Here is a 22219-nt window from a genome sequence, read left to right as displayed (position 1 = left end):
GTGTGTGTGTATATGTATATGGGTATTTGTAGATATTTCTAGAACAGGGCAGGGGCATACCACAGAGGGGGGCACAAGTTTTCAGCAACGGTCACACCTGGATGTGTCAGCTCACCGCAACAATAGACGAAGTCACAGATGAAGGGGGCTGCCTTTGGGGCTGGGGGAGCCACTGCCAAGTCACAGAACAGCCGCCCAGGCAGGCTTGGAAAGGGAAGTCTCTGAGAAGAGGAGGAATCTGTTTAGAGGTCAAAGGGGGGCCTGGGGCTCTCAGGATGGGATGGACTTGCCTGAGCCGATTGGCTGGCAGTTGGAGAGAAAGCAGAGAGAAGACAGGAGAGAGAAAAGCGAGCATATCATCTCACACCAGTTAGAATGGCAATCATTAAAAAGTCAGGAAACAACAGGTGCTGGAGAGGATGTGGAGAAATCGGAACACTTTTACACTGTTGGTGGGACTGTAAACTAGTTCAACCATTGTGGAAGTCAGTGTGGCGATTCCTCAGGGATCTAGAACTAGAAATACCATTTGACCCAGCCATCCCATTACTGGGTATGTACCCAAAGGACTATAAATCATGCTGCTATAAAGACACATGCACACGTATGTTTATTGCGGCATTATTCACAATAGCAAAGACTTGGAACCAACCCAAATGTCCAACAATGATAGACTGGATTAAGAAAATGTGGCACATATACACCATGGAATACTATGCAGCCATAAAAAATGATGAGTTCATGTCCTTTGCAGGGACATGGATGAAATTGGAAATCATCATTCTCAGTTAACTATCGCAAGAACAAAAAACCAAACACCGCATATTCTCACTCATAGGTGGGAATTGAACAATGAGAACACATGGACACAGGAAGGGGAACATCACACTCTGGGGACTGTTGTGGGGTGGGGGGAGGGGGGAGGGATAGCATTGGGAGATATACCCAATGCTAGATGACGAGTTAGTGGGTGCAGCGCACCAGCATGGCACATGTATACATATGTAACTAACCTGCGCATTGTCACATGTACCCTAAAACTTAAAGTATAATAATAATAATAAAAAAAAAAAGCGAGCAGAGAGCTGGTGAGGCAAGTGCAGAGCACAGGTGTGCCACAGCAGCTGTGGGAGGGCCAAGGAGTAAAGGGTGCACGTGCGGGTGTGGCAAGGTTCCTGGAAAAGAGGGGCTGGAAGGGAAAGGGGAGGAAGACAGAGGGAGGAGCCGGAGTTTCACAGGTAGTGCCTGGGGGCTGTGGCAGCCCTCCCCACCCCACACGTGCTGGCCTCTTCCACGGCACCCAGTGCACCCACTGTTAAGACTGATGCTCAGCCCCTTTGGGCTTCCCTCTTCTCTGGTCACCGTGTCTTCCAACCCACTTGTCCAGGGCCACCTCTCGCCTTGGGGAGCCCAAAACAACAGCCACCAGGCCTGATAGAGAAGAAACACTGCTTGAACCAGGATGATGAAGCTAAAAGGGATGGATGGGTGGAGTGATCGCCGGAGCCCCCTCTGGGGGGTCAGAAAGCCCAGGAACCCTTGAAGGGTCCCTGGGGGAGGAAAGGAGGGCATGCAGCTGGATGCCACTGGCTATAGACTTATAAGTCTAAGAGGGGAGCCTCAGCTTGTTGGGGGTTGCAGGTCGGATAGGTGAGGCTGGGCCCTTCCTGCTGGGAAAAGCAGAAGAGGGAGAGTCTATGGCAGGGGAGGTGGGTGGGCTTGTGGGGCGGAGGTCAGCTGGGCCAGCAGGCACTGTGGTCCCCTTGGCTGAATAGCAGAGGTGACCTCTAGGAGCAACACTCCAAGGTGCGTGAGCCTGCTGGCCAGCAATAGTGCTTCAGCGGGGGCCAGGGACCCTGCCTTCAGTCACACGCTAGCAGCTATGATGGTACCTGGGAGGGAGGGAAGGGGCCTGTGTTTCCTGCCTGGCCTGTGAGGTGTGTTGTGGGTTGACCGTGTGTATGCGACTCTCAAGGTTTTATCCTATCTCACCACTGCATTGCCGACAGATAGAGGAGGTGGGACTCTGACTATCACCCCTGCTCTGCAGTGGATTTGGCTCTCAGCACTCCCAGGCTGGGAGCTGGATGCCCTGCCCTGGCAGCATGACTCAGACTGCCCAACAGGTGCGGTGTGCACAGGAGGACTATCCTAGGACTCTGGCCGCCTCAGAGTACAGCCCCACACACCACCCCCTCTAAGCTCTCAGCCCTTACACCATAAACCATGAGCTCTGTGACGGCTCCAGGGAGCACCCATGTCTACCAGCGTGGGCACGGAGCCTGTTCCAAGAGTCCCCAGGCTCAGCCATGGGGGCTGGGGGGCTTTGGGGCCGTGGGAGCCAGCCTTGGTACCTGCATCCGGCAAGGACGCTCTGCACCTGCAGGCAGGAGTTGTCCACGGGCCCCCATGTGCGTGCTGATGGTGGTCGTGTTGATGTCGCCGATGATGCCGAGTGCCTCCTTCAGCACGTGGTACATGCGCAGCATCTCGTCGCGCCACTGTGCCTGCTCTGCCGACTCTTCCATCAGCGTTTTCTGGTCCCCACGTGAGTACAGGTTGGACAGCAGCTCCGAGAAGATGAACTCCTTGGTCTGAGAGCGGGCAAAGAGGGAAGGAGGTTGGGACCTGATGCCTTTGCTGCCCTGGCCTCCTGCCGGGCCCTGCTGGGACTGTGTGCTGGACTTGGAGCCCTGAGTATGGCTTTTCAGACGCGGCTTCTACACCGCTTAGACTCAAAGATCTGCCTCCCCACCGCCCTTTTCTCACTCAGATAGGGACACTGAGGTCCAAAGGAAAAGTCACCTGTCCAAGGTCACACATCTGGGAGGGGACCCAGGACCTATCATGCCACCAGGACACCGGTCTACTCAGTTTCTTAAAAATGTTTTTTGGAGATAGGATCTTGCTCTGTCGCTAGGCTGGAGGACAGTGGGCGAGATCACCACTCACTGTAGCCTCAACTTCTTGGGCTCAAAGTGATCCTCCAATGTCAGCCTGTCGAGTAGCTAGGACTATAGGTACGTGCCACCACCAAGCCCAGCTATTTTTAAAATTTTAGTGTAGAGATCAGGTCTCACTATGTTGCCCAAGCTGGTCTCGAACTCCTGGGCTCAAGCTATCCTCTTGCCTTGGCCTCCCAAAGTGCTGGGATTACAGACATGGGCCACTGTCCCCAGTCCCACGTTATATTTCTATGAGACAGCTCTGGTCTGGACTGTGCCTCCCTCCCTGGACCTTGGTCCCATAGGGCTGGTCAGCATCTCCCCCAGGCCAACATGGCCACCTGCATCCCCAGTGCTATAGGAGCCCCCTGCCCCTATGAGGCAGTGCATGCACGTTGTTGATCATGACGTGCATGATGGTCTTGGGCATGACACCAACCATGAGGTCCCACACGGTCTTGTTGACAATGGCCATGTAGGAGTCCACAAGGTTCTGGGTGGTTTCCATTTGCCGCTCCAGCTATGGGTCCATGGAGTGCATGAAGCTGTCGGAGCCATTCTCCTCAGCCTTGCTGTCCTGTCATGGAGAACACAGTGGCATCAGGGTGGCCAGGCCATGCAGCCAGGCTCCAGGAATCCCTAGGATCTCAGCACCTCCAAGGGTACCTGGAACATTGAGGCACAGAGAAAAACAACTGGCGTGAACATGCACCGAGCTCCCCACACGCTCTAGACGGTTTCAGGTATCTGCCTCTCAGGACCCCAGACTCCCCTGATTCAGTCTCCTCTTAGTTCTGACTCTAGTGCCCAGAATCTGCCTCAAGTTACCAATCCAGAAATTGGAAAAAAACATCTCCAGGTCCCCTGTTGGAGACCTGGCCAGAGCTTGTGCCAGGCTGCAGACACCTGGCAGGGGGCAAGAAAGGGGCATACTCACTTTCCCCTTGTCCTGGGAGGCCCATGCACCAACACTGCCACCGCCGCCGCCACCAGGGAACACGGCAAAGTAGACACACACAGAGAGGAAAACGGGAAGGGTTGAGTGAACCTGGGACACTGCACCCCAACTTTAATGTGTTGTGGAATTCAGTTAGCTAATATTTTATTGAGGATTTTTGCATCAATATTCATCAGTGATATTGGCCTGTAGTTTTCTTTTTTGGTCTGTGTGTTTGATTTTGTTATCAGGGTAATGCTAGCCCTGTAGAATGAGTTTGCAAGTATTCCCTCCTTCTCTATTTTTGGAATCGTTTGGGTAAGGTTGGTATTAGTTCTTCTTTAAATGTTTGCTAGAATTCAGCAGTGAATCATCAGGTCCCAGGCTTTTCTTTGCTGGGAGACTTTTTATTACCACTTTGATCCCATTATTTGTTATTGGTTTGTTCAGGTTTTGGGTTTCATCATGGTTCAATCTTGGTAGGTTAGATGTGTCTGGAAATTTATCCATTTTTGGTAGGTTTTCCTATTTATTTGCACACAGTTGCTGACCACTAGTGATCCTTTGAGGTTTTTTTTCTTTTCTTTTTTTATATGGAGTCTTGGTCTGTCGCCCAGGCTGGAGTGCAGTGGCGCGCTCTCAGCTCACTGCAAGCTCTGCCTCCCGGTTTCACGCCATTCTCCTCCCTCAGCCTCCCAAGTAGCTGGGACTACAGGCGTCCGCCACCACGCCCTGCTAATTTTTTGTATTTTTTCCGTAGAGACGGGGTTTTACCGTGTTAGCCAGGATAGTCTTATCTCCTGACCTCCTGATCCACCCGCCTTAGCCTCCCAAAGTGGTGGGATTACAGGCGTGAGCCACGCCCCCTTGGGACAGGGACACACACACACACACATAGACACACACACACACACACACACACACAGAGTTGGTGGTTGTGCCGCCCAGTCGCGAGTGTGAGGAAGGGACCAGATCGGTCGGGCAGAAAGGTGCTGGGTCAAGAGAGGAGGGGGCAGCCGGTAGCGCGGGCACGCCGGGTGCGCGCGGGGCGCGCCGGGTTGAGGGGTGAGGGGTGAGGGGTAAGAGGTGAGGGGCGACGAGGACCGGGGCGGGGTAGGGGCAGCCCTTTCCCAGGCGGTAGCGGGGGCAGTGGTGCTGTTGCCCTTTTAAACTGCGGCTTGACGGGAGCCGCGCCTCCTGTCGGTGGAGTCGGTTATAAAGGGAGCAGCCCCGCAGGCCGCCACATAGCTCCCGCCAAGTCCTCGGTGCCCCTTGCCATTTTCCAGCCGCGCTCCCACGAGGGTCACGGCGGCGGGGAGAGGTGGAGCCGCGAGAGCTCGGCCGGGGGCCCCGCCTGGTGGTCGCGGCCATGACAGCGGCTCGGGACAGGCTCCTTTTCCGCGCCCCTCCCGCCGGAGGTGAGGGGAAGATGTCCATGTCCGGGTTCAAGGCCAAACCGAAGTTACTGGCCTCTATCTTCCAGGAGAACCAGGAGCCACAGCCGCGGCTCACGCCCCACCGCAACATTAAGGTGAGTCGCCGGGTGGCGGCCTGGCGGGGCAGGGCGAGGGCGGAAAGCGGGTGCCCAGAGTCCCAGGAGAAAGGGGAAGCTGCCCCAGAGAGGCCGCGGTTCCCCGCCCCTTTCTCCTGCAACTGGCCCGCCCGGCAAGGCAGAGGCTTGGGTGGGAGAAGGCGGAGGGCGCGTCTCTCCAACTCCTAGCGCGGGGCTGGCTTGGGGGCTGCTGGCCCCTCTCGGCCCCTGTCGCTGCGCCTCGAGGTGGGAGCCCGCCGCTGCGGGAGCCCTCTTGGGACCCATGGTCGCCCTCAGTCAGCCCACCTGCTCTAGGGACCGCGACAGGGCGGGGCAGGGCGGCTCCCGCGTTGTTGGAGCCCAGGCGGGGAAGGGGAAAGGCCTTTAAGATTTTCGGTTTTTTGGCCGGGCGTAGTGGCTCACGCCTGTAATCCCAGCATTTTGGGAGGCCAACCGGGCTGATCACTTGAGGTCAGGAGTTGGAGACCAGCCTGGCCAACATGGTGAAACCCGTCTCTACTAAAAAATAGAAAAATTAGCCGGTCGTGTTGGCAGGCGACTTAATCCCAGCTATTTGGGAGGCAGAGGCAGGAGAATCGTTTGAACCCGGGAGGCGGAGGTTACAGTGAGCTGAGATCGAGCCATTGCACTCAAACCTGGGGGAGAAGAGCGAGACTTCTCTCTCTCTCTCTCAAAAAAAAGTTTTCTTTCTTTTTTTCTTTTTGTTGAGACAGAGTCTCACTCACTCTGTCGCCCAGGCTGGAGTGCAGTGGCGCGATCTCGGCTTACTGCAGCCTACCTCTCTTGACAGTCCACTGGTTAAAGCGATTCTCCTGCGTCAGCCTCCCGAGTAGCTGAGATTACAGGCGCCCGCCACCAGGCCTGGCTAACTTTTGTGTTTTTAGTAGAGACGGATTTTTTAGTAGAGACGCGGTTTCACCATGTTAGCCAGCATGGTCTTGATCTCCTGACCTCATGATCCACCCGCCTCAGCCTCCCAAAGTGCTGGGATTACAGGCATCAGCCACCGCGCCCGGCCTCTGTTTTGTTTTATACATGTAATATATTCACAAGTATCTTTACGAAGTGATTTTGATACTCTTGTCTTCTCCCTAGAATCTCTTTGTTCTGTAATAATTCTTTCTTAGTTTATATTGATCTTATTTTCCTTTTTAAAGCCTTTCCTTACATATCTATTCTATGTTGCTTATCATTTGTAGTTTTTTTATTTTTTATTTATTTATTTATTTATTTATTTTGAGAGGGAGTCTCGCTCTGTTACCCAGGCTGGAGTGCAGTGGTGCAATCTGGGCTCACTGCAAGCTCCGCCTCCCAGGTTCACGCCATTCTCCTGCCTCAGCCTCCTGAGTAGCTGGGACTACAGGCGCCAGCCACCATGCCCCAACAATTTTTTGTATTTTTTAGTAGAGACGGGGTTTCACCGTGTTAGCCAGGATGGTCTCGATCTCCTGACCTCATGATCTGGCCACCTTGGCCTCCCAAAGTGCTGGGATTACAGGCGTGAGCCACCGTGCCCAGCCCTGATTCTATATTATAGTGAGTTGTACAATTATTTCATTATATGTTACAATGTAATAATAATAGAAATAAAATGCACAATAAATGTAATGTCCTTGAATCATCCCAAAATCATCTCCCCCAACCTTGTCTGTGGAAAAATTGTCTTCTGCAAAACTGGCTCCTGATGCCAAAAAGTTTGGGGACTGCTGGCATAAGTGGTCTCATATAGTAGTTGTCCTTTTGTGCCTGGCTTATTTCACTTAGCATAATGTCTTTAACGTTCATCCATGTTGTAGCATGTGCCAGAATTTCATTTGTTTTTAAGGCTGAATAATATTCCCTTGTATGTATTTAATATGCCTTTTTATCTTTTCCTCTGTTGATGAATACTTGGGTTGCATCCACCTATTGGCTATTGTGAATAGTTTTGCATTGCCTGTCTTTCTCATGATCGCCATCCTATTTCACATCTAGCAGGTGTGAAATTCCATTGATTGAGTGATTGATTGAGACAGGGTCTGACTCTGTCGCCCAGTCTGGAGTGCAGTGGCATGATCTTGGCTCACTGCAACCTCCATCTCCCAGGCTCAAGCAATTCTTCTGCCTCAGCCTTCCGAGTAGCTGGGATTATAGGCATGCACCACTACCAGCTGGCTAATTTTTGTATTTTTAGTAGAGACGGGGTTTCACCATGTTGGCCAGGCTGGTCTCGAACTCCTGACCTGAAATGATCCACCTGTCTCCGCCTCCCAAAGTATTTGGATTACATGTGTGAGCCACTGCGCCCAGCTAGTAGGTGTGAATTTCTATGTCTTAGTGGTTTTGATTTGCATTTACCTGATGGCAAATGATGTTGAGTATCTTTTCATGTGTTTATTGGCCATTTGTCTGTTTTTTTGGGGAAATACTTATTCCAAAATTTAACTTATTTTTAATTGGGTTATGTATCTCTTTATTATTTAGCTGTAAGAATTTTTTACATATTCTAGATAGGAGTTATAACAACTTTCTTCCTTTTTCTGGATTGTCTTTTTTCTTTCTTGATGGTGTCCTTTGAAGCAGAAAGATTTTAAATTTTGATATAGTCCAATTTATCTTTTTTCATTTGTGTTTTTTTGCTCCTTGTGCTTTTGGTGTAATATCTAAAAAAACGTTGCTACTCCAAGGTCACAAAGGTTTCTGCCTATGTTTTTTTCTATGAGTTTTATAGTTTATCAATATCTCTTATATTGAGCTCTTTTATCCATTTGAATTAATTTTTGCATGCGGCATGAAGTAGGGGGGTATAGCTTCATTGTTTTGCACCTAGACATCCAGTTATCTCAGAACTATCTGTTGAAAAGCTTATTCTTTCCCCATTGAATTGTCTTGGAACGCTTATTGAAGATCAATTGACTGTATATGTGAAAGTTTATTTCTGGATTCTATTCTTTTCTCTGTTCATCTGTCCTTATACCAGTAGCACACTCTTGATTACTGTAGCTGTTTAGTAAGCTTTGAAATCAGAAAGTATGAATCCTCCAGAAAGTTTTTTAAGGTGGGTTTGGCTGTTCTGGGTCACTTGCATTTCCATATGAATTTTAAGATCAGCTTGTCAGTTTCTGCAAAGGAGCCAGCTGGGATTTTAATCACAGTCGCATTGAATATGTAGATCAACTTAGAAAGTACTGCCATTTTAACAATATTAAGTTTTCCTCCACGAACACAGGATGTATTTGTACTTATTTAGGTCTTCCTTTAATTTCTTTCAATCGTAGTTGTGTTGAATGCAGACCTACTTTGAATTAATTCTAAGTAATTTTTATGCTACTTATTGGTTGACAAATATAATTGCTTTTAGTTTTTAACTGTAGTTTTGATGTAATGTGAACTGTATTTGGACCTTGTGAAGCTTATTTCTGCTTTGAAATTTAGTATAAACTGGTTATAATAAAATCTGACTGTGCTAATTTTTTGGTTATGTGAAATAGAAAATCAATGTAAATTTAAAAATTTATTCTGGGCCGGGCGCAGTGGCTCACACCTGTAATCCAAGCACTGTGGGAGGCTGAGGAGGGCAGATCACAAGGTCAGGAGATCAAGACCATCCTGGCTAACACAGTGAAAGCCCATCTGTACTAAAAATACAAAAAATTAGCCGGGTGTGGTGGTGGGCACCTGTAGTCCCAGCTACTTGAGAGGCTGAGGCAGGAGAATGGTGTGAACCTGGGAGGCGGAGGTTGCGGTGAGCTGAGATCGCACCACTGCACTCCAGCCTGGGCGACAGAGTTAGACTCCGTCTCAAAAAAAAAAAAAAAAAAAAAATTCATTCTGAAATGCGATAGATGTTGAAGCTCTTCTGGCAGATGGTTATAAAGAGGAATATATAATCATTCTATTGAGAAAATATAATCAATAATGTGAATACCTAAGGTAGTTTATTTTACATATATATCTCGGTATTTATTTATTTTTGAGACAGAGCCTCACTCCTGTCACCCAGGGTGGAGTGGAGTGGCACGATCATGGCTCATTGCAGCCTCAACTTCTTGGGCTTAGGTGCTTATCTCATCTCATCGCAGCCACCTGAGTAGCTGCGACTACAGGTGTGCGCCACCATGCATGGCTAATTTTTTGTATTTTTAGTAGAGGTTTCCCCATGTTGTCCAGGCTGGTCTGAAACTCCTGGACTCAAGTGATCTGCCCGCCTCGGCCTCCCAAAGAGCTGGGATTACAGGTGTGAGCCACTGTGTTGGCCTTATGTTTTATAATTTTTAAATGATACTTTTTATTCTATTACAAAACATATATAATTGTAAAAAACTTGTAAAATATAAAAGAGGACAAAGACAATAGAAAAATTATTTACAATGTAATTCCCAAGTAAACACTGATTACCTTTTTTTTTTTTTTTAGAGCCTGTTGCTCAGGCTGGAGTGCAGTGGCACCATCATAGTTCACTGTAACCTCATACATCTCATACATTTTGATATTACTACTTCTGGTTTTATACATAATGTGTTCACTTTGAAGCAAGAGAGTATAATTTTATAACGATTATTTTCATTTAATGATCATGATCTCATTGCAATTATTGATCATTTAGTTTATTCCTGAACATTTTGTTTTATATATTTTTGCTATTGTGAGTGGGATATTTGTTATAACTTGGCATTTGTGCCTACACTCAATTTACCTATAGGAAACTAATTTTTGCATACAATTGTTTTAATTGGTGCAGTGGCACAATCTCAACTCACTGCAACCTCCGCCTCCCAGGTTCAGGTGATTCTCCTGCCTCAGCCTCCTGAGTAGCTGGGATTACAGGCACATGCCACCACACCCAGCTAATTTTTGTATTTTTAGTAGAGACAGTGTTTCACCATGTTGGTCAGGCTGGTCTTGAACTCCTGACCTCGTGATCCACCCGCCTCGGCCTCCCAAATTGCTGGGATTACAGGCTTGAGCCACCGTGCCCGGCCTCGGCCTCTTTGTGTGTTTTCGTATATCTTTCATCTGAGTTGCAAGGGGCACCTTGGGTTTCCAGGAATTTTCTTAGCTAACTCTGTTCCTTTATCTATGACCCTTCCTCACTAGTTTTGGATAATTTATTTTCCTTCTTCCTTACTTCACTGATTTACTTTTCTATTTTATTTAGTTTGCTAGTCATTGTTTCTTTTAAGGTTCTTAAGCATAAATCCTTTTTTTTTTTCTGATGGGAAATACTGGGGCATAGCACTAGGAATACAAATTATGTTTAAATAGAGCACAAAGAACCATCTCAAAGGAATAACTGATGGTGAATGTCTGGTGATTGATTTTATTATGTATCATCTCTAATGAGGCTTAATAAATAATTGAGGTTTAACACTTAGGTAACCGGTCTGTATTTAAGTCTGAAAATTTTTGTATGTTACAGTTTCAACTTCACATTGAATATTCTGTAAAGCAGAAATAAATTGATCAGCATTCTATGAATGAAAAATAAAGCCATGGGTCGGGTGCAGTGGCTCACACCTATAATCCCAGCACTTTGGGAGGCCGAGGCAGGTGGATCACCTGAGGCCAGGAGTTTGAGACCAGCCTGGCCAACATGGTGAAACCTTGTCCCAGCTACTGGAGAGGCTGAGGCAGGAGAATGACTTTAACCCAGGAGACAGAGGTTGTGGTGAGCTGAGATCGCGCCACTGCACTCTAGCCTGGTGACAGAGCAAGACTCTGTCTCAAAAAAAAAAAAAAAAAAAAAAAAATTAGCTGGGCATGGTGGTGCACACCCGTAATTCCACTACTTGGGAGGCTGAGGCAGGAGAATCACTTGAACCCAGGAGGCAGAGGTTGCAGTGAGCCAGGGTTGCACCACTGCCCTCCAGCCTATGTGACAGACTGAGACTCCATCCCTAAAAAAAAAAAAAAACCAAAAAAAACCATGCTGGTAATCGAAAAAGCAGTTTGCCTCATCAGAGTTTAGAACGTTGAATTGTAAAGATCTTTTTTGTAGTCCTAGCCAGTTTTAATGGTAACATGAGCAATTCAGTTACTTTCTCAGAGTTTTATATTTTTATCTGTAAAATGGAAATTATGGTACCTACAGTTTAGGATTTTTGTGAAAATCAAGTGAGACTGCAAGTGTCTTGAATAGCAGTGGAAGTACATTGATATAGGTGATATTTTACAGTGGTGTCTTCCTCAGCATCATATTAGTTCAGTGTTTTAAAGCTCTATATTAGTCACAGAAACAAAGTCAAATTTTTGTTCTCATTTCAGATTACAAGTGGACACCTGAGTCAGCAGGACCTGGAATCCCAGATGAGAGAGCTTATCTACACGACTCAGATCTTGTTGTCACCCCCATTATTGACAATCCAAAGGTGCAGAAAGCACTCTGACAAGTGAGTTGTAGACTTTACTGAGATCTGAAATCTGCATAAGATTTTCATTCAGAATATTATTTACTGTCTAATCTTTCCTGTTTCTCTTGTCCGCTACTCTTTCATTTGTGCTGCATGTCTGCATTTCCAGCTCCCGCTCTGTCTGCAACCCTTTCCTCTGCCTTCACTTCCGCTTCACTGGAGTTCTAAGTTTTCCCCCCTCTGTTTTGAATGAGTCAGCTCTGCTTCTCACTACTGCTTTCTTCCACATGCCACGGAGGGGTTGCCAGCCTCTTGACCTCAGACCTTAGCTCTCAGTCCCATCGTTTCTCCATCTGCACTAATGTGAATCACTCTAAGTATTCTAGTCTCTGATGTGTTTTGAAGGCAGAAGCAGTCAGAGGGCACTGCTCACCAGGCTGGGCTGGGCAGGCAGATCACACGGAAGCCCTGCCCTGTCACAGGTTGTTAATACTGCAGGGGAGATGGTGGGGAGACACTATGGGAACTTGAGGAGTCATGGTTCACAATGTACTTCTAAACCACTGTGAGTTTTTTTGCTTCTTGTCTTTTGGAATATAATACTTTATTGCTGGGGGATAATGAGTATTTACTTTAAAAAACAGATGCATTTCTAAGTCCCTCTGTTTTGTCTTGACTTCCAGCTCCCCAACATACTCACATTCCACTACTTATTCTCTATTTTAACTTTACTGCTTCTTTTACTTTTTTTTAGTTTTACTTTTATTTTTTATTTTTTTGAGACAGAGTCTTGCTCTGTCACACAGGCTGGAGTGCAATGACGCGATTTTGGCTCACTGCAAGCTCCGCCTCCCAGGTTCATGTCATTCTCCTGCCTCAGCCTCCCAAGTAGCTGGGACTACAGGTGCCCGCCACCACGCCCTGCTAATTTTTTGTATTTTTAGTAGAGACAGGGTTTCACCATGTAAGCCAGGATGGTCTCGATCTCCTGACCTTGTGATCCACCCACCTCGGCCTCTCAAAGTGCTGGGATTACAGGCATGAGCCACCACACCTGGCCTTCTTTTTCTTTTTTAAATATCTTTTTCTGTATTAATTCATGACTGTTTTTTTCTTGTCTCATTGGGAACATTAGTGTGGTTTAGAACAATGTAAGGGTTTTTGGATTCATGTTTATTTTCTAGATAGACAGCATTTTATATAGATGATTTAGCTGTTTTTCATAATGGAGCTAATTCTTTTTGTGAGTTCATATGTCTGGCAGTGTAACTTTATTATGCTAAGTTTGATGTGCATTGGCGCATTTTCAAAGTGGGCTTTCTAGAACAATTTGTGATATCTTTCCCAGGGGTGTCCAGTCTTTTGGCTTCCCTGGGCCACACTGGAAGAAGAATTGTCTTGGGCCACACATAAAATACACTAACAATAGCTGATGAACTAAAAAACCAATAAAAAAAAATTGCAAAAAAATTCTTACAATGTTTTAAGAGAGTTTATGAATTTGTGTTGGGCCATATTCAAAGCCGTCTTGGGCCGCATCCAGCCCACGGGCTGCGGGTTGGACAAGCTTGCTTTACACAATATTCTGTGTTTCCTTTTTTCCTCTTATAACCATATTTGATAGTTTATGGGAAGCCTTCATCAGTGGAAATTTTTGTGTTTAACTTTTAATTCTAAACTACTTTTAGAGAAAAGATTAAAAAATAGTTGAGAACTCCTGTATAGCTTTTGCCCAGCTGCTCTTAATGTTCACATCTTATAGGTCTATAGTATAGTTAGCAAAACCTGGGAATTAACATTGGTATAGTGTTAGTCAGGCGGGATAATCCTTACCTGTGCCTCCTTTTGGAGGGCAGCAGAATGTGGTAGTTGGAGTTGCATGATACTTGATTCATATCTCTGTGTAATGATGGCATGCAATACCCTGACTGCTCCTTTCGAATTCTTCCTGAAAAGGGAAAAATAAAACATGAGAATAGTGCTGCTAACTACCAAATGCATTTGAATTTTACCGGTTGCCTCTAATGTCCTCTTTTTTTTTGTTCCAGGATCCCACATTACAGTTAGTTGTTATGCCTCCTTAGTCTCATATAGTCTGTCCTAGTTTTTCACGGTTTTGTCAGAATTTCTCAGACTTTGCTTGTCTTTCATGACCTTGACAGTTTGTCTTTTATTTTGTTTTGTTTTGTTTTTTGTCACCCAGGCTGGAGTGTAGTGGCGCGATCTCAGCTCACTGCAACCTCTGCCGACCGGGTTCAAGCTATTCTCCTGCCTCAGCCTCATGAGTAGCTAGGATTACAGGCACCTGCCACTGCACCTGGCTAAGTTTTGTAGTTTTAGTAGAGATGGGGTTTTACCATGTTGGCCAGGCTGGTCTTGAACTCCTGACCTCATGATCCACCTGCCTAGGCCTCCCAAAGTGCTGGGATTACAGGCGTGAGCCACGGCACCTGGCCTTTGTATGTTTTTGTAATACATGTTATAAAACGTATGACTCAAGTCCTTGACACTTTGAAGAGTAACTGGTTGGGTGTTTTGAAGAATGTCCCTTAATTTAGGTTTGTCTAAGGGTTTCTCATGACTCGAATGAGATTATGAATTTGGATTATGAGATTAGAATGAGAATATGCATTTTAGTAAGAATACTACAGTAAATACAGTAATGCTGGTTACTTAATTAGTAAAGGTTTTAAAAATATTACATATAGAAGTTTTGCAGAAGTTAGGTATAGAAATGATGGTTGAATTTTTAATTAAAAGTCTCAAGATGCAGTATCTGGCTGTCCTAAGCTCATGGATCCAACTACATGGTTTCTTCACATTTCTCAAATAAATTATGCACTTTCCAATTCATGCTATTATGGCTTCCTTGAATGGTGTCTTCTCTGATATAATCATAAAGTTCTAGCCATCCTTCAAGACCGCAACCCACCTTCTACCTCTTCCGTAAACCCGGTGTCAACTATATCAAGTAAAGTGCTTGCTGTATTCTCTAAACTACTATTTACAAAAAAAATTCTTTCTGTCCAGGGTTTTGTCTGTAGTTATGTCCTGCCTCTTTTGAATTGTGAAATATTTTCTTGTTTATCAAATGTTTGTCTCATCTTCCCAACCAGAAAGTCAGCTCGCTGAAAATAGGATTGTGTCTTTTATATCTTTGTATCCCCCTTAGCACTTGACATAGAGCCTTACCTTGGCAGGTAAGCAATAGATATTTGTTGAAAGACTGAATTTCTAATTAGACGTAAATTACCTAAAAAGTAAGCCAGGATGGGGTGAATTTTTTCTTTGAAGCTTTATTTTATTACAGATATCAATTGAAATGATTTTAAAAAATAAATTATTATCTATATATGTATGTTTTAATCTGAAAAGGCATCGTTCTTTTTGTTTTTGGTAACAAATTTTACACATTCTTTTTTTGTCCTCATTGATTTATTATCTGATATAAGGGACATATAAGGAGACAGATATCCATCTTTAAAATTGCCTCAAAAGTTTTTTTTTTTTTAACCACAGATAATGAAACAACCACCATCGGTTAAATTTGATGCAAAAATATTGCATCTACCAGCATTTTCAGGTAGGATCATAAAGGAGTTATCGAACATGTAGACTGTCTGTATACAGATACGAATATGAAATTTATTCACAAATGGAATATTTGTATGTGAACAACTAAATTTATTTTGTCTTGACAATTGGTTATATTCTTGGGTCAGTGTTATGTGAATTGTAAATAATCTGTAATTCATTTGTGCCAGCTGTTGACATTTCTCAGCTGAGTCTGGGCTGCCCTGTCCTCTTGTGAGTGGGGAGGTTCCTGTAGATCTGGGCAAGTTTTCCTGTAGAGTGGGTGGGGGGCCTCCTCCCTTCCGTTCATAGAGCTGGTTGAATTTCCACCATTTATGGCAGGTGTAGGTGCACAGGGTTGGGGACAAGAAGGAAGGATTGGGATTCTATTGGCGGGACCAGGACATTTGAGAACGGGACTAGGTGGTTCATGACTGTGGAGATGGTGTGGGAGTGGAGATACTTAAGGGATAATTATTACATTTCTGTTGAGCTAATGAAAATCTTATTTACGGTGAAAGTCAGAAATTTTTACATACCTTAAACTTTTTTTTTTTAACAAATTATATTTTAAGCTGTTAAACTCAATTTGGGGAAAATTATTCATTGTGGCTAGAGTAGAATCTATGATTTGAAGTAAATTTAAAATATATTTAGGTTTAAATAAACCAGCTAAGGGTTTATATCAGTCAACTTAATTAGTGATAAAAACAACCAAAAAAACCTGTGTAGAAGGACGTTTTTGAAAGACCAAAGTGAAGCAAAATATTAATAGTGCTTTCAGTGCCAAGTAGGTCTATTTATGCAAACCTAGAGAATTATTATTGGGAAATACTATTTCCTTTTTCTTCTTTGAGTTACTTAGGAAATTATATTTACAATTTCTTTGTCTAAAGATTGAGATCAGCAAAAACATGTTAGCAAAAAATTTTAGGGAGTATCACATTTCCTAGATTTTGCCCTTTTTTTATAGGGATTAGGAGGTAGGAATTTCAGGTGATTTTAGCTATCATGTTATCCTCGTTATTTTTTTACAGTAATTTCATTGGAACTTTTTAATAACTGTGTGGTTTGTGCTTTTCTCAATATCTGAGAGTTGATTTATTTATACAAAGGCTTTTTTGTCTTTTACTCCAGTTGTATTGAACTTTGCATTTTGTTATAATCTAGGTTGTGAGACAATTCTGCTTTAGACATCTGCTTGGTTTGAAAGCATAGTTTTCCATTGAAGTGTTTAAAAAGTTTCCATGGATAGATAAAGAGATGAGGAATATAGAAGGACAAATAGAAGTAGTGTCATCTTTGGAGTATTTTTGGTGTTGACAGAGTAATGTTTTCTTTGTCCTCATCTTAGCTGTCGTAACTCTGTGTTTATTTCTCATGTAATGTTTCCAGCAGTTGTTTTTCTCATCATCATACGTTTGTTATTTTGTTTCCTTGGCAATGGATAAGTTATAATTTCTGAAAGACCAAGATTGGAATGACTTTTTGTAACAAGTGTGCTCGCAGATCGACTCCAGTGAGAAGAGCTCGGGGACCTCCTGAGCCAAGCTTAATCTCCTTTGCTGTTTGTGAGTGGTGGCTGGTCACCAGGAGGTGGCCACCAGGCTCCTCCTTTCCCCGCTGGTAGGCCTCTGTGACATGACTTATGCATTTAAATTTATGTTTTTTATAGAGGCTCAAACAAGTGCTAAAATAGCAATTTGATTTAACTACCATGAAAAAACTGATTTATCACGATTTTAGGTTTATGCAAATTATCCTCTGCTTAATCCTTACGTCTTAAAGTAGATAAGAGTAGACGGTGATTTTGAACTTTTTGTTGTTGTTGTTGTTTGTAATACTCAGGTTTCCATTTTATGTTAACTTGTAAGATTTTTAAAAAATATGTGAAATCAGGCCGGGCGTGATATCATAAGACAGACCTTTTACCTTCTCATCAGTGACTGGAATGAACGCCTGTAATCTCAGTACTTTGGGAGGCCGAGGCAGGTGGATCACCTGAGGTCAGCAGTTTGAAACCAGCCTGGCCAACATGGCGAAACCCCATCTCTACTAAAAATACAAAATTAGCAGGGCGTGGTGGTGCACTCCTGTAATCCTAGCTACTTGGGAGGCTGAGACAGGAGAATCACTTGAACCCAGGAGCCAGAAGTCGCAGTGAGCCGTGATCATGCCATTGCACCCCAGCCTGGGCAAAAAGAGCGAAACCCCATCTCAAAAAATAAAAACAAAAAACAAACAAAAAAAAATGTGATATCATAAGACAGACCTTTTCCCTTCTCATCAGTGACTGGAATTAACTGCCCATGTGGAACGGGTTGTGGGTGTTGGTTCCTTTACTGGGTCATCTGGTAAACTGCAAGGTTTCTGCTGTGACATTGAAGGCAGACATCAACCCTCTAAGACATTTTTTTCCTATCCTCTGGGAATATTACTTTTTGGACAATCTTGGTCCATTGGTAAGCTCATGGGAATTTGTCAGAGTTTTTTTGTTTCTTTTGGCTCATGTTTAGCATCGATTGGCAGAGTGTTTGGAGTCATCCTCAGAAAGGAATTACAGTGGTTCGGAGGTGTTTTCTGTAGTGGGCCCTCATTTGGGAATTGGCTTGAAAAAAATGTAAGTTCACTTGCTTCCAGGATGGTATTAAGATTGCTTTTTTTGATAGTTGGCGTGTGTCTATCAGGTAAGGGCTGTCATTTAGAGAATATAAAGTGGTAGGAGAAACTAAAAGTACTGTTCTTAGTTTTTATTTTAATCTTATTCGTATACAAGTGCCTTTGTAATTTAGCAAATATCATTTTTGGTGTACAGTATAAATTTCCTTTTTATAAAGATCTGAGTTTTTAACTTTGCTGTCACTTTCTGTGTTTCATGACTTAAATATTTTAATTTTTTCTTTTTTTACATTTACATTTTTTATTCTAGTTCCAATTGCTAATCCAGCATTTGTGGATAGCTGCAAACTGCGATATGTAAGTAACATTTACATTTTAAAAATTATTTCTCATGGTTTTATTAAGTAGTTACAGCATACATATTTATCAAAAGCAGAGTCCTAAGTAATTATCATAAATTTTCCTGATGTAATGATGAATTTACTCATAGGCAATTTTTATGGGCATTCCAATTATAAACTTTAGAATATTTAAAAATAGCCCTTCTCCTAATATAGATACGATTCTGGGATTATCTAAGCTACTCCTGGAAACTTTATTAACTGTTGTTGTTTTTTTATTTTCGTAGAGACAAGGTCTCTCACTATGTTGCCCAGGCTGGTTTCCAACTCCTGGGCTCAAGTGATTCTCCCATCTCTGACTCCCAAAGTGTTAGGATTACAGACGTGAGCCACTGAGCCAGGCTAACTGTTACTGTTTTGAGTATTGGTTATAAAATACTTCAACCCTGATCCCTGTGTATTAATTTAGTTATACTTCCTCAAAGTTTCCCTTGGGCACCCTTATCTGTCCCTATGTAGCACATAGCTTCCCTATGATGTTATTTATAATCTAATGAGATTAATTATGATTTATAAACTCCCGATGGAAGGAAGTGTCCTTACTTTTTATAGAAGCAACATACCAGGTGGAAAGCACCGTAGATCAAGTGTTAGAAGGCTCTGGGTTCCTGTTGCCTATAAGACTTGGCCAAATGATTATCTTTTTCTCAATCTCTGTTTCCTGGGGAGTGTGGGTGGGACAAGGAAATGGCATAGGTTTAGGATTCAGACAGACCTGGGTGTGGATCAAAGATCTGCTTTCTGGGCCAATTACTTTAATTGCTGAGCCGCAGTTTCCTCATCTGTAAAATTGCGATGGGATAACTACTTCATAGATTTTTGGTAATTATTCAACTTTGAATGTGGTAAATATGTGAGATACCTGGTATAGTGCCTGTTTCTTTCTTTCTTTTTTTTTTTTTTCTGAGTCGGCATCTCCCTCTGTCACCCAGGCTGGAGAGCAGTGGTGCGATCTCAGCTCACTGCAAGCTCCGCCTCCCGGGTTCACGCCGTTCTCCTGCCTCAGCCTCCTTAGTAGCTGGGACTACAGGCGCCCGCCACCGCGCCCGCCCGGCTAATTTTTTTCACCGTGGTCTCGATCTCCTGACCTCGTGATCTGCCCACCTCAGCCTCCCAAAGTGCTGGGATTACAGGCATGAGCCACCGTGCCTGGCCGTATAGTGCCTGATTCTTAGTGGGTATTTCATTGACAGTGGGGTTGGGGTTGTAGAAGTTGTAGTTATTATCATGAAGCTTGCTTATCTCATGATTGTTAGGACAGGCACATGAAAAAACGGAGGTGAAAGGATTTTGTGAATTGTGGCAGTGGTATAATAATTATTCTTCTATGCTGGTGAAATATGGGTGAAACAATAGGAGTTTAGAAAATGTTTAATAATAAGGGTAATTCTTATTATACGTCTTCTAATGTTACTCTCGCAAAGTAAAATCTGGTAATAGAAAGTAGGATTTTTAGGTAATGGTTGAGCATTTAATACTTTGAGAAGGCTTATGGTATGCTCATTAAAAATGAATCAATGAAATATGTATTTAAACACTTTTATTTAAAACGTGTTATATACCTGAATGGGGTGCTCCCTGCTGACATTTTCAGACAGACATTCCAAATCATTTCCGAGAACAGTCATCCCTCTGTATCAGCCAGGAGAATGGTTCTAGTATCCCCTTGGATACTAAAATTAACACATACTGTTTTTTCCCCCACTGTTAAAAATTGAGGTTTGATTGTAAAACAGTTTTAATTTGAATAAAATGATACTGAGGTAGACAAGTTCTCTGGTAGGAATCTTCTTTTATTCTCTTTCTCCATCCAAAGCCACTTCCAGTGAGGTTTTCTCTGACCTCAGGTTATATTACCTTGATAGCATATGATAAAGGGTCCTTAACTTAGTCTGGGAGATAATTATTATTGAAGTAGATACTTAGTTTTGTTTTGCTTATAAAAAATTAGAATCACATGATATAGTTTTTTATGTTTGTTTTCCCCCATAACATATATATTATGTATTTTAAATGTTATCAACATTTTAAAATAAAATACATAATACTTAAGGTAAACGTTTTATATGTTGTGAATATCTGATCATTTTGTTTACTATTTTTGGATAGTATTATAATGTTGTAAACAACATTTTGATGAACATTTTTGAGATTAAATCTTCGTGCCCGCTTTTTCTTTTTCCCTTTAGGAAAGATTCATAGAACTAGAACAAATGGGTAGAAGGCAGTAAATATCTTTGTGACTTCTGAAAAATTGCTGAAATACTCTTAAAAAAACATTGTATCAATAGATAATCCCAGTCAATGTGTTTAAAATGCCTTTTGTTAGAACTTCCAACGTTGAGTATTTATCAAATTGTATATCCTTTTATCCTTGCCAATCAACTTTATGAGGTATAATTCATATATAGTAATAGTGTAATACTGTAACTTTAAAATGTGTTACTTGTAAATTACACATAATTTAAAATGTTCCATTTTAGCTATTTTTATGTGTACAGTCAGGAGATCGAGACCATCCCGGCTAACATAGTGAAACCCCCGTCTCTACTAAAAATACAAAAAAATTAACCAGGTGTGGTGGTGTGCACCTGTAGTCCCAGCTACTCGGGAAGCTGAGGCAGGAGGATGACATGAACCCAGGAGGTGGAGCTTGCAGTGAGCCGAGATCATGCCACTGCACTCTAGCCTGGGCAACACAGCAAGACTCTGTCTCAAAAAAAAAAAAAAAGATATATATGTGAAGCACAAACCAAGTGTGGGTCCGCTTCAAGAGGCTGGAACTAGAGCTTTGGACACAGCGAGTGAAAACCCTGCCCCATGAGGCTCACAGGGTGGCAGCGTGCCTCACCCACCCTCTGTTCTTCTGGACACCATGAAAATGTCACATCTGCCGATGTCCTCCAGAGTTGTTTACAGGTTTCATTTGGTTAAGAGCTTGGTTTTATATACATTGTGAGAAAAATCACCAGTTCTGTGTGAAAATTGAAATGGGGGTAGACACTGGCCCTTCCAAGCTGTGCCCGGGGAAGACCTCCCAGGCCAGTCCCAGTGGTGCTCTCAGGCAGCGTGTGGGGTTGTGAGGACAGACAGGGGCCCCTCTCAAGGTCTTTGCTGCTCCATCAAAGACAGACCCCAGGGCTTCGGGAAATCCACAGCCTGGTGGCACTGGCTCATGCAGTCCTTTTCCTGTTTCTAGTGCTGATGAGCGCTTTGACGCCACATTCCACACTAACGTGTTGGTGAATTCTTCTGGGCATTGCCAGTACCTGCCTCCAGGTAAGCTGCACCTCCTTTGTCCTCTTCCAGTTAGAAAACTGAAGCGAGTTTGGGTGTCAGTCAGTCTGGCCGGTGCCCCCGTGTGGTGGACCAGCTCTTTGCTTCGCCTTTGCTCACTCCCACCTCTTCCTCTCTCTTCTCTTCTGTGCTTCTGTGTGCTTTCTACCCCCAGAAGTCCATCCTCCTCTTTTGTCTCAATCAAGCCGTCTTTGCCACTATGTCCTTATTTTCTGCCATGTGTGCCTTAAAGCCAATGTACAAATACAGCGAGTCTCCTTTGCCGGGCAGTGGCCACCTCACCTTCCAGCCTGGCAAGCCACCTCTCCAGGCTCTGCTTCTCAGTTCCAGCTTGCCATCCTCCTCCCTGCGGGACTCAGTGTCTTGGCAGGTGCAGCGCTCCAGCTGCCGGGGGTGAGATATGACAGTTCCAGGATCCTGAGTGCGTGCGCTAAAGAGCACACGCAGGTTACAGGCAAGGTCTGGTGGTTTCAAGGGAGAGCTCTCTAGCGGCTGACTTCTTCCCAACAGTGTCTCACCTCCAAGGCTAAGTGCTCCCTGGATTGGTTCTTTCCCACCAGTCCATC

At 43.9% G+C, this 22219-nt stretch overlaps 1 protein-coding gene, 1 non-coding gene and 1 pseudogene across 6 annotated transcripts in view; 2 read left to right on the top strand and 1 right to left on the bottom strand.

The window, feature by feature from the left end:
- Positions 1 to 70: 70 nt before the first annotated feature.
- On the bottom strand, positions 71 to 3520 carry DNM1P29 (dynamin 1 pseudogene 29; annotated as a pseudogene).
- The window catches only part of CHRFAM7A (CHRNA7 (exons 5-10) and FAM7A (exons A-E) fusion), a 33335-nt gene continuing 15880 nt past the window's right edge, over positions 4765 to 22219 (top strand). The window contains exons 1-6 of one of the 5 annotated variants that reach the window (XM_011522153.3): positions 4765 to 4871; positions 5366 to 5413; positions 11678 to 11802; positions 15283 to 15346; positions 18266 to 18312; positions 21556 to 21635. In XM_011522153.3, the coding sequence (XP_011520455.1) occupies positions 15314 to 15346; positions 18266 to 18312; positions 21556 to 21635 (160 nt within the window). In that variant the 5' untranslated portion in view covers positions 4765 to 4871; positions 5366 to 5413; positions 11678 to 11802; positions 15283 to 15313. Of the gene's footprint in view, positions 4872 to 5003; positions 5414 to 11677; positions 11803 to 15282; positions 15347 to 16788; positions 16963 to 18265; positions 18313 to 21555; positions 21636 to 22219 lie in introns of those variants that run through there. The other 4 variants (XM_005254750.4, XM_011522155.4, NM_139320.2 and 1 more) reach the window with 4 other exon arrangements.
- On the top strand, positions 13574 to 13706 carry LOC124900357 (U8 small nucleolar RNA). Its single transcript, XR_007064809.1, has one exon. It is a non-coding gene; the product is annotated as a U8 small nucleolar RNA (small nucleolar RNA).

This window comes from Homo sapiens, chromosome 15 (assembly GCF_000001405.40).
Source record: "Homo sapiens chromosome 15, GRCh38.p14 Primary Assembly".
NCBI classification, from domain to species: domain Eukaryota; kingdom Metazoa; phylum Chordata; class Mammalia; order Primates; family Hominidae; genus Homo; species Homo sapiens.
This window is presented reverse-complemented; position numbering and strand designations above follow the sequence as displayed.